This window comes from Homo sapiens, chromosome 12, assembly GCF_000001405.40.
Source record: "Homo sapiens chromosome 12, GRCh38.p14 Primary Assembly".
Lineage (NCBI taxonomy): Eukaryota > Metazoa > Chordata > Mammalia > Primates > Hominidae > Homo > Homo sapiens.
The window spans coordinates 13,164,090-13,176,297 of record NC_000012.12 but is presented as its reverse complement, the minus strand read 5'-3'; the positions used below and the strand labels follow the sequence as shown (position 1 = coordinate 13,176,297).

At 42.9% G+C, this 12,208-nt stretch overlaps 4 annotated features.

Annotated features, from left to right (window-relative positions):
- Positions 2,536–2,585: an enhancer, noted in NCBI's record as "active region_6033". NCBI's record gives its function as "activates an Ori minimal core promoter by ATAC-STARR-seq in GM12878 lymphoblastoid cells {active_cell/tissue: GM12878}" and the evidence as "EXISTENCE:reporter gene assay evidence [ECO:0000049][PMID:35858748]".
- Positions 3,791–3,840: an enhancer, noted in NCBI's record as "active region_6032". NCBI's record gives its function as "activates an Ori minimal core promoter by ATAC-STARR-seq in GM12878 lymphoblastoid cells {active_cell/tissue: GM12878}" and the evidence as "EXISTENCE:reporter gene assay evidence [ECO:0000049][PMID:35858748]".
- Positions 9,853–11,052: an enhancer, noted in NCBI's record as "BRD4-independent group 4 enhancer chr12:13318180-13319379 (GRCh37/hg19 assembly coordinates)". NCBI's record gives its function as "activates an origin of replication core promoter dependent on BRD2, P300/CBP, MED14 and CDK7 cofactors, and independent of BRD4, by STARR-seq in HCT116 cells {active_cell/tissue: HCT116}" and the evidence as "EXISTENCE:reporter gene assay evidence [ECO:0000049][PMID:35650434]".
- Positions 10,429–10,723: an enhancer, noted in NCBI's record as "tiled region #6201; HepG2 Activating non-DNase unmatched - State 10:DNaseD, and K562 Activating non-DNase unmatched - State 22:ReprW". NCBI's record gives its function as "activates a minimal TATA promoter and a strong SV40 promoter by Sharpr-MPRA in HepG2 and K562 cells {active_cell/tissue: HepG2 | K562}" and the evidence as "EXISTENCE:reporter gene assay evidence [ECO:0000049][PMID:27701403]".

Genomic DNA, 12,208 nt, shown 5'->3' with positions numbered 1-12,208 from the left:
ATACCACCTGTGAGACAGACAGGAATTATTATCTTTATTAATAAAGTGAATTAAAATAGATTGCTTTGGACATTTGAGAAATTCTTGAAGTCACAGGGCTCTACTGGGGTAACATGAACCAGAGCTGGAAGTCCATGAAGCACAAACTTTGGAGTCAGACAGACGAGGTTTAATCTGATTTCTAGCTGCAGGGCCTTGGGCAAGGCATTCAGACTCTCTGAGCCTCAGTTTTCTCATCTAAAAAATGGGGACAACACTATATTGGGTTGTTAGTAACAACAAATGTGATACGTGTAAGTTACTTGGCACATAGGCATTCGAGAAATGGTAGATTTAAACTAATATTAGAGGTATAGGTGTCATAGCACACACAAAAAAAACCTTATCCATAAAAAGTTTATTCCTGAGGCATTTTCTTTAGTTTAGATCACCAAAGGATTAGAATTAACACGTGCAGGAGGGTAGAGCTAAGCATAACAGACAGGTGAAAAGAAAGGTAGAGAACAAGTCAACTGAAAGCAACATTCCAAGCGAAATTACACCCTTGGCAGCCAAAGACAAGGGTTGGGTTTTCAGCGTTAGTCACTGCTGAGGATTAATGAGCTGGAGAACACATGGCTGAGATGCCCTCTTAGGCAAGAATTAATCCAGTAGGGTCCTGAGTTGCAGAAGGAGAAATGCCATTTCCCTTCAGTCTGGATAGCCCTGCTCACTCTAGGGAAGCACATGAAGTAAAACGCCATTTCTCCTGACTCTGGGCTGCAAGCTGTGGGGAAAGCCTAGAAACAGAAGGTGGATAATTTTTATGATCCCAATGCTTGGTCAAAATGCAGTAGTGCAGCATTTAGGGTCAAGGTGGGCTAACTGTAACACCAGGCTTTCTGGAATCTTTTTAAAATAATGATGAATGCAACTGACAAGAACAAAATAATACACCATTGCCACAATACAGGCCAAACATAGAAATCTGTCCAATTCAGAGGCAAGAAACACACCACAGTTTTAGTTGGAAGCCAGAATAAAGTGTACACATTTTCTAAACCACATACTGAACTAAACCTAACTTATTTTCCTAAGCCTTAAATCAATTTGAACTGGGTTTAAGTATAAAAATATGTAAAGATGTTTTTGATGCAGGGTGTGTAATTTTATACATATATAAACTGAATTGGGTACTAACTGGAATATCAAAATATGCCTAGAATCAAAACAAACAGCAGCTTGAGAATTCAGTTCTAAATTGATTAAAAACAAAAGGAAATGGGCTGGGTGCGGTGGCTCATGCCTGTAATTCCAGCACTTTGGGAGGCTGAGGCGGGCAGATCACTTGAGGTCAGGAGTTGGAGTTCAAGACCAGCCTGGCCAATGTGGTGAAATCCTGTCTGTACTAAAAATATAAAAAATTAGTCTGCCATGGTGGTGCACGCCTGTAGTCCCAGCTACTCGGGAGGCTGAGGCAGGATAATTGCTTGAACCCAGGAGGCAGAGGTTGCAGTAAATCAACATCACGCCACTGCACTCCAGCCTGGGCAACAGACTGAGACCCCGTCTCAGAAAAAAATAAAATTAAAATTAAAAAATAAAAACAAAAGGAAATAAACTCACAGTTAGTCATTGATTGATGATGATGATGATGATGATACTATACTTCCTGATACTTGATTCTCAGTATAATGACATATGTCCTCCCAGGGTGGACTGGTACTGGGTTTACCCCTGCAATGCTCTCAATACCTTCCAACTGGAAAATCTACCTTCTGACTGGTGTGGCCTTTGAGAAATGTGTTGGGCCCAAGATCACAGGGAGGATTAGGCCCCACATACAAAAACAGAAGACAGCTAATTAACTTTTTCAACTTAGTAATCATCAATTTTATTATTAGCATATTAACCAGGGATTATGCCAGTTTAGGTTTGTGTGTGTGTGTGTGTGTGTGTGTAATCAGTATGTAGACATTATTACATGTGCAAATGTAATAATGTTTTAATAATGTAAATAATTAGCAACTTAAATTAACCTGTTTTGTCAGAATGTATTGTTTAGAGGCTGGGAACTCTTAGGGGAAAATAAAAATATGGATCCTCACCAGCTGAACCAGTACAGAGTGAGTTAACTGTGTTGCTTAAAAATAGAGAAGGTATGGGGAATAAAGATCACTTTCACACTTCCAGAGTGACATGGAAATTGGGACTCAGGGACAGTCTCTAAATGGAAAAGGAGGAAGGTTTGGGAAAGTGGGGAGGTGGGTGGACCTGCACCTGGAGCAGTCCTTTGGCAGATCTTCCTGGAGAAGGTGAAGATGCTGGCAGAGGGAAATAAAGGGTTTAATTCCCTGCAGCCAGGAGTTTGACAATGGCTCAGATTTTCAGAGATGTGACAAACCAAGAGGACTTGGCCACAAGGCCTCAGTTTTCTGTGGTTTCAAATTTACTCATCTGAGAAACATGGGACCTTCTAGCCATTGTAAAGAAACAAACCCAGCGATCCCCGAGAGAATGAGTTGCTGATTCAGAAGCTGAAGAAAGAAAGGACTGTGTGACTCCTGGCTCCTTCCCCTTCCGCATTCTGGGCTCTGTTCTCAGCTCCGCTGAGTAAGTCTCGCCGCCTGTCCTGCTTGATCTGCCTGTAGTCTCAACAGTTCTCAGTGAGGCTCCTCTAAGGGGCTGAATCAGATTTATGCAGGTCTGAGAAGAGTGAGTTCCTGCAGACACAATACCTTCTGAGTTTCTGCTCAGCAGCACAGTTTGAGGTGTGGCCTCTACACATACTGCATACGTAAAATATCAGCCCACCTGGGAATGATTTCTTAGAGTTAGTCTGGCCCCACCTTGAAGAGTTTAACTTGGATTCCATTTGTCTTCCCCCTGTCCTACTTTCCCCTGTGGCTGAGAGAGGATTTTCCATTTCATGTTGCAGACATGTGAGGCATCTCAGTCCCGCTCCATTCGTCCACACATCTGGAAGAGCAATGCTCACATCTGGAGCCCATTCTCAGCTGGAAGATGTCTTTCGACATTCTTTTCTTTGAAACCCAATCCATGTAACCTCTTGTTCAAAAGGGCCTCTGAACTACTGGAATCATTTGCAGAGGCTCAGGAAAAAGTCCTTAATTTCATCCCTACATGGTGGAATTTATGACTCAAACCAAACCCAACATTCTGTTTCTGATTGCTTTTTTTCAATAATGACTCTTTGGAGCTACGTGTTTAAAAGGACAGAATTTCTAGCCTAGGACACATACCAAAGGAAGGTGAAAGCAAGCTGTTCAGTAATCACCAGGGCGAGTCCATTGAAGCTCTGTAAGTTTCAACAACCTAGGTCATTTCTTCATCAATAAAATTGGGATTCGTTGTTTAAAAATAGACACAGGAGTGTGTGAGGATAAGGGAGGTAACATATCTGGACATGCCTTGTCTCATACCTGTGTAGGGTAAGGATAGATGGAGAAAGGGGAAGGGGTTTGTGTCAGGCTGAGACAGTCTCTGCATTTGCTCACTCATCTCTCCGTAAACCCATGAAAGACCCCAACATAGGACTCCATGACGCCCCACTGAGCAGGAGAAAGGAAGAAGTCTCAAGAACACAAGACCGAATCGACAGTATTTGATCAGCATGCATGCAAATTACCCAGTCATTCTGAAAAACTACAGCTTCTGTTTCGGTGGTCTGGGATGGGACTGAGGTCTGCATTCCTAACAAGCTCCCAGAGGCTGTCCATGCTGCGAGTCCCCAGATCATGTTTGGTACTAGAGAAATGGGCCCCAACTCAAAAAATTCAACCTCTGCTAACAAGTGAATTTGTCATTTTGCCGGGTCGACTCTAATTCTCAAGCCCAGCCACTGGACAGAGAGGTGTGGAAGGAAATGAAATTCACATTTCTGAAACGCAGAAAGGCCAATTCATCTCCACCTTTACCCTCTTCTGCCGGAAGGCAGGAGTCACGCCAGCCTCTTGGGTGTGAAGGGAAAACTAACTGCCTTACTTTACCCCATTCCCTACCTTCAAGTATTTCCCTGATTGTGTCAGGTTTATACCTAGTGGAGGGAATGACACAACTATGGATGGCTGCCTTTGACCTTCAGCAATTGCCCAACTCCCAGCCAAGCTGCTGGGAGAGGAAGACAGGCAGCCAGTATTTCCATGGGGGCACTGCCTGCCAGCTCCTCCTGCCCCTCAGCTGTGTTGCCTGGCAACCAGAGGGTGGGAGAAAGGGAGGAATGCAAGTAGGTGAGGAGGTAAGGGAGAAATTATGATGACAGGAGACAACAGCCAAGGAATCCTAGTCACACAGACACACGCCCAGCAGTGTGGAATGTTAGTGAGCCTCAGAGGGAGGGCGCCAGTGGGTGTGAACCTCGAAAGCAAGAGGCCAGAAGTGCAAAAACATTCATTTTTTCCATTTTATTATTTTTTAAATACCAATAATAAAAAAGGAGAAAAAAAATCCTACTTCTTAGATGAGCTGGCAGGCAGGAGGAAAAAACTGGAAACCTACTTATAAAAACCAAGGGAATCATTAAAGGGTGTGGAGGGGGCTAGGGAGAGATTGGTAAAAATCCTGTGCTAAAAACTAAGACATGTCTTGAAATGTGGCCAAAAAATTGTTTGTAGTAAGATTCTAAAAATCTGAAGTGAGATTTGGACCAGACAGGAGGTTCTAGTGGCCCCTGAATGAGGAGGGGTGGGCAGTTCCCTGTGGCCCACCCACCACCACCCTACCGCCCCATCAGTGTCTTCCTGGGCAGAGGACACCCCAGTCCACAGGAGGGCGAGGAAAGTGGTAGAAGAGTTTTGATTCAAGTTGCAATTATGGAACTTCAGTTTTCTACAGAGGTTGAAAGCCTTAATTCGGACCCTAAAGAGTCCCTTAAGCTTGTAACCATCTCTGATCTGGCCTTCCCGCTTCCTGCCATTCCCACACTCCAAATCCTACCACATTTTGCCATAAGGATGATTCCTCTGAAACACAGATGGAATCATGTTGCTCAAAACTTTTTTTCATAGTTCCCCATGGTCAACAGAGGAAATTCCAAACTTCTTAGCATGGCATTCAATGCTTTCCACAGCCTTGCCTTAGCCCACTTTTCCAGAGTCACCTCCAGCCGCTCCCCCTCTTCCCCCCACCCACCCACTGCCAAAACAACCTCCCTAGAGTCCAGCCACTAGATCACACCACTCCCTATCAGGCCATGAACTTCCAACTCATCTCACCCTTTGAACATTACTATCATTCCCCTTTTGGCTTATCTTCCAAACAAGCCCTATTTACCCTTTTAAAAGATACACAAATGTACAGTTTTGCAAAGTAATTCATGCACATAATTTAATTTTTTTAAGGTGCAGGGGATTTAAAATGCAAAGCAACAGTCTCTTCCCTTCCTCTTCCCTCTCCGCTTCCCCCTGCCCACTCCCTCTACCTAATCACCTTGCATTCTCTTTGAGTTTTCTCTCCTGGTGATTACTTTTATTTCTCTAAAAACTGTTTCTTGATTTCTATAAAGCTATTTCTTAATTTAGCAATTTTACATAGCGTTTTTTTGCATTCTGACTATAATAAATGAGGGTTTAGCATACATGGAACATATCACTATTTTCATTTTCCTAATGGAAACCGTTAATAACATTAAGGCAGGTTACCAGGAGAAGCACTGTATAGTAAGAGGTAAGAGCTCAGCCTCCAAAGCCTGACAGGCTGAGTCGGATCGCTAACTTACTGCTTACCATTGAGTGATCTTGGCCAACTGATTTAACGTCTCTGTGCTTACATGTCATCAAAAAACATTTGAAGACACAAATTAGTGTTTCCTGAAAGGCTGTAAAATCTATACTGGTGTCACTGGTCTCTCCAGACCTGCAGCAAAACTGTCATTGTGTGTTACTCTTCACTATGATTCCAGGTTGAATACACTGCTTCTGGAATTTTATGTCTTCCTCTGGCTTGTTCTACTTTCTCATTTTGCAGGAGTGTGTTTTCAAATGACTTCCAAAAAAAAGGTGTGTAAAGTTAAGCCTTCTGACTTCTTATCTGTCTCAAAATGTCTTTTCCTCTGCCTTCAAGTTTCATAGATATTCTTGAGGAGTATATAATTCTAGTTGATACACAAGCATATTCATCTAATAAGAAGAAGAAAAAAATAAAGATTCTAGTTGAAAACCATTTTCCTTCATAATTTAAAGCAGTTAAAAACTGTTTTCTAGCAAACTGTGCTGCTGTTAGAAAACTTTGGAGCTCATTTATTTGTAGGTTGGCATTATTTTTTCTCCATTTCTCTCTCTCAGAAAACATTTAAGAACTCTCTTTTCAGTATTAGTGTCCTGAATTTTATGCTGTTTCATTTGCCAACTCTTCTTTATTGTAGTGAGCACAAGGTGAATATGTCTTCCTTAAATTTTGTGTCCTTCAACTCTGGGGAATTCTCTTGTGATGTTTTTCTGTAATTCCTTCCCTCATCTGTTTGTCTTCATCTCTTTTTGGAGCTTCTATCAGTTAGATGTTGGTTCCCTGGATTAGTCTATGTGTTACCTTTTTTGTCCTTTTCTTTTTTATTTTTTTTTTAATCTCTGTCTTTTTATTTTACTTTTCCTCTATTTTATCCTCCAACTTTTTAATTATTGTTTTTATAGCATTCTTTTCTTTTAATTGATGTGATATCTTCATAAATGTCTCTGAATATACAAATTTGAGTTTCTTTCAAGTTCCTCATGTATCCTGAATTAACTTGTTTTCCTGTGGAGTCATTTCTCTTTTTCTTAATTGTGTTTCATAGTTTCTTTCAAATGCCTACCAGTTGGTGATGCAAGCAAAACTGGCTGAACTCAAAGTACACTGGAGGTCATGCAGACTACCCGGCTCCACTACAGGGTCAGTGGGAATGGAGCCTGGATGTGGCATCAGCTCCCACACCAGGAGCAGGTTGTTCAGTTTCTTTACAGAGGAGCAATCCATCCCCCATGATAGGGTAGAGAAGTGGGGAGTTTCAGCCCACATCTCACTCCTGTTCACCATCAAATCTAGAGTTTTTGAGTCCTCCAAATTGAGAATTTTGTAACCTTCCAGGTTTCTGCAGGAAAAATCAGCCCTTGCCAGCCACCTCCTGCCTGCACATCTCCTTCCCTGTGCCTTGCCCTGCCCACCCCACCCTATTAGCTCTTGGTCCTTTTGCCACTCCTGCAATCCACACAGCACACCATCACTAAGCCTCCAAAGATCCTCTCCACATTCTCTTGATTTCCAGAGAGAAGGTTCAGATCCCCTGGGACAGGGTGGGAGGTGTTGGGGGACAACCAGGAATCCTTACTATCAACATTGGATGTGGGGTAATAGAATAATTTTTTCAGTGTTGAAAGACAAACCTTCAACCTAGAATTTTAATTCCAATTAAACTGTCTTTAAATTTGGGGGCAAATTAATGTTATCTCAGGCACACGTAAAACCTCTTTCAATATTCTCTTAGAAGAAGTACTCCAGGAAGAAGTGAAATACATACAAGGGAATACTATGAGACTTATTTTTATTAAGAGTAAATAAATAAATACCATATAATTTTAATTTCTTTCTAAAAAAGAAGCAAAAGTGGAAGTTAGATTTAGAGAAGTAAAAGAATCACTAACCATACAGCAGATGCTCTCCAAAAAGACCAAAAAAAATGAAAGGGGAAAATACTTAAGGAAATAAATATTATTTCTTAGAATTAAAGAAAATGAGAGACTTCAATTGGGAAGACTTATGGAATGTTGTACAACACAGATGGGGAGAATGGTCCACACCTAGACACATTATAGTGAATTTATAAAGTACCAAAACTGGCAGAAGAAGAAATTGAAGGTTTGCATAGATAACCATTATAGAAATTAAAAAAGTAATCAGTTGACAAGGCTATTAAGTATAATCTCGCTTCCAAAACTGGATAAGAACAATACCCGAAAAATTATAGTATCTACATACATAGATAATTATATATCTAATATATGCAAAAACTCCTGCAAATCAACATGAAAAAGACTGGAGACCCCAAAGAACAATGGCAAAACATGTAATACACAAATTAGAGAATAGATAACAAGTAAGAGATGAGATATGTAACCCTCCTAGAAATCAGAAAAACACAAATTTAAAAACAATGATATACTATTTTACACACACCCAGTATACAAAGATTAGAAAGCCAGGTAATAGCAAGTTCTGGAGAAGATTCCAGGAAACAGGCTCATTCATTCACTGCTGGAGCGCAGCCATTCTGGAGAGCAACCAGGGAGTATTTAGTGAAATGAAGTACTCCTATGCCTTATGGCCCAACGATCCCACAGGCTGGTATACGCCCAGAGAAGCTCTTGCCAAAGCCATAGGGGCACATGCACGGGGTTCTTGTTCTGTCATTAGAATGCCATGAGTGAGTCAGGGGTACAGGTAGAGTGTGGAATAGGGAAGGGAGGTACAGAAGGGAAATGGAAGTGAAGATAAGGGATGAAAGGAAAAAAGCAAATGACCAAAATAAAACCAGAATGTGACCTTACACAGCCTACTAACAACAGTGTGGCTGAGGAATGTGTTTAGCTTGGCTGTCTGCATCTGAGGGTCCACAAAACAAAAATCACCACATGCAAGCATTGATTTACCACCTGATATCCTATCCTGGGTCAGGGAACTGGGTCAGGGAATTGGTGGTAGAAAAATAAATGAGCAGCTTCTGCCAGGCTTTGACTGAAGAGATGAGCTGGGGAATAGATGTGGCCTCCCAACAGGCTTCTTTCCTCACCTCTCCATTCATCTGGCCTAGTGGGAAAAAGAGAAGGCCTCACCCTCTATAAATAAACCCCTCCCTGGCCCTCAGTAATCTCTCCAGGTTTAGTTCATCCCAAGGCTGCAAGCCCGTTTCCCACCCAGACATCATTTCCTTCCACAGAGCCTTTGTGGAGCGGGTTCCTCAACCTGTGAGTCATCCCTGCCCATTTCACCCTGGAGTCAAACTGGATCAGTGTTGGGATTTGTCACCTGCACTCACTAGAGCATGGCCACAGCCATCTCCAAGCCTCTGACCTGCGTGTGCAGGAAGGGCTAAGGAACCAGGCAGAGGTGAAAGCCTGCGTTTCCCAGGGAAAAGAAATTACTCTAACATCAATAACATCTATCTCTCCTAGGTAATCAAACTGAGCACCTGGATAAAGAAACCCCACCTCCCACAGTCCCAATAAGGACCGGAAATTGGCTTGTTGAAGTGACGCAGGAAAATGGAGCCGGCAGTGCAAAGGTGAACTCTAAGAGCTGGTGAAGTTACAAGGAATAGGTTTTAGTAGAAACATTGCTGGCCCCTTTTTCTCTGGCACATGCCTGCACCAGACATCTCTTTTAGGACCAAATCCTCTGTTACCCCTAGATTCCTATTTCATGGATCCTGCCTCTTATCCGGTTCCCTGGCTCAGAGACACACACTGAGCCATCTCCTGTGACCTACTTGGAAGGGGGACCCGCATCCTGGACTTCTCAAGACTTCACCCAGACCGTAAAGTGGCCCTAAGCCCTTTCCAGCTTGCTTGTTCTTAGGTACCAAATAGATAGTCAGTTTGTGGCACTCATTAAGCTTATGCTGTGGACAGAGCAGTGTAGTGAGGCCTTATGGAGAAAAACAATAGAAATAGAAGTTTTGGTCCCTCAGAGTATGTGAGTGAGTGTCAATGGGCCAACCTGTTAAATGCAAGCCATTATCCTCAGCACTTTCATATACATTCCTTCATTTATCTTCACAGTGACTCCAGGAGTTAGAGCCTCATTTTCTGATTTCCAGAGGAATAATCTGAACCTCTCCGAGATTGAGGAACCTGCCTCAAGTAACGGCTGGTAAGTGACATATCCAGGATTCCTGACTCCGAGGCCACAGCGCTTTTCACAACACCACAGTTGCATTAAAGAGAATCCATCCCACCTGCAAATACAGAGCACTGTGCCCTGAAATAGACTCAAAAGCGTTTTCAAAATAGCACATCAATAAGAACAAACGCATTAGAAAATAAACTCTGAGCCTGTGTGTTCTGGTCTCTTCTGTAGAAAGGAGGGGTTCAACAGTGAAAGATTCCTAAAAGAGGTAAATTTGAAACCTAGTTTGAAAGAACAGAGGCTACAGATAGGCAGAGAAGAGAAAATAAAGTTGGAATTAGCATCTTCTCTTAAGGTTATGTAGACATTCCTGCCATTGTGGAACAAATTTTCCACTCTGTCTACCAAAGTAAGAGGAATTATGCTTAAACATGGCAGGGTGGATTCAGGTTAGCATAAAAGACATTTCTGGTGATGAGGTGGTTAAATACCAAACTATTTCATTAAAGGAAGTGGTGAAATGTAGATTGTTTTTTTCCCCTCAGATGACTTTGGCTTACTCCTGGAGACAGGAGATGAACACAGCAACTCTGCAGACATCAACTGAAAACGGCAATTCTGGGGTTATAAGATAACTTTATTATGCTCATATAAAAAGGGTTCAGGGCAACCTGTATAATAACAAACTATTGCTCATCCCTAGACCCTCCCAAAGAGCCACTGCAAAGTAGTTTCTCACCTTTCCCATACCCTGACAAGCAGGAACCAGAAAGGGCCTGAGTCACCAGGTCACGTGACTGAAAGTGCAGCTGGGGCCTCTGTCTGCACTTGGCATGGCCGCATGAAACCAAAATTGCCTGTGCCCTGCAAGCTGAAGAGCACCAAGCAGTTACAGGTTATGTCAGGAAACCCAGGGCTGCCATCCAACTGCTGGAGCCGTCCCTGTTTGCAATGGAAGAAAAGGGTATTTGCAATTGCTCCTTCCCCACACTGTGGCTGCTGTTCAGGTGTTAGTTTCAGTTAGTTAGTTAGTTAGTTAGTTAGTTAGTTAGTTAGTTAGTTAGTTAGCTAGCTAGCTGGTTGGTTAGGTAGTTAATTGGCTAGTTGGTTAGTTAGGTGGTTAGTTAGCTGGTTGGTTAGTTAGTTAGCTAGTTTTGCAAATAGTATAAGGGCATGCTCCATCCCTAAGAAAATGATGCTTTTTCACAGACCTATTAATGATTGAACTGCCCCTTCAGGAAGGCAGGCCTTGAACCAGAAGTCCCCAAGAAGAAACTCTTCCCTTCCTGCTCTAATGATTTCCATTTTCCTAAGAATCCTGGACTCAGAGACTATTCGAGTTAGTAAGACCTTAGGCATTTATTTCAGTCTCGTTGTTTTCCAGGAAAGGAAGCTCAAGCCTAAAGGGATGAAGTGACTTGCCCAAGGTCACACATCTGGTCAGTGCCCTTCACCTGGGGTGAACCTTCACACATCCAAGGTGAAGACGAAGGAAGTCAGCCGTTTCCCTCTTGTGTTTCAAGCAATGAAGTTTGCTTAAGATTGGTGAATGTAGTCTTAGACATTTCTCCTTCCTCTTCATGCCCCACATACCAACACCACCAAACACATAACAATTGCCTGCTCTGCTTCTCTTTTCATGGGAAGATTTTCAATCTATAGGCACCATCAGTTCCTTCTAGCAGAAATGGAAATGGCTTCCTGACCCACGGACGGAGGTGGCTACCTTTGGCAACTCAGGCGGGATGGCTAATACAGGTGTTTTTCGTCATTCTCATCTCCCAAACCCCAGAGCCCACCTTCTCACCACCAAAGGAGATCAGTCAGATGCAGACCATGTGAGATGGCTGGAAGAGCCCGGGTTTTCAAATCAGCAGCCCTAGATACCATTAACTGCATGGCCTCTCTAGAGGCGCTTAGTGATTGGCATCTCTAAATTGGAGATGAAAATGCCGTGGTGCCATGAGAATGGAATGAGATCATATTTGGGGAAAGCCCTTTGGAAATGGTTATGAGAGGAAATGCCAGGGATTTTCATTACTGGCTTCAGGCTGCCCTAGGCTTGACCATGCAGTCGAGTTCACAGCCCAAAGGAAGGGTGTCTGCAGCTGGGCTGGGCCAGAGGTGGGGCTGGAGATTGGAAATGTGGGTTCCTCCACCTGTGTACATAAGAAAGCGCCTCTTCCAACAGCCCTCAGAGAGGGGCATGGACAGGGCCAGCAGTAGCCCAACTCCCAGAACGCAGCTGCCATGTGTCAGCCCTGAAGCTACCTTTTTTTCTCCTTTTTTTTTTTTTTTTTTTTTTTTTTTTGGTTCTCATAGGTCTGGAGCATTTGAAAGGGGCTGGTTCACTACTGGCCTGGCAGACAGGCAGCTTGCTCCAGGGCAACAACTC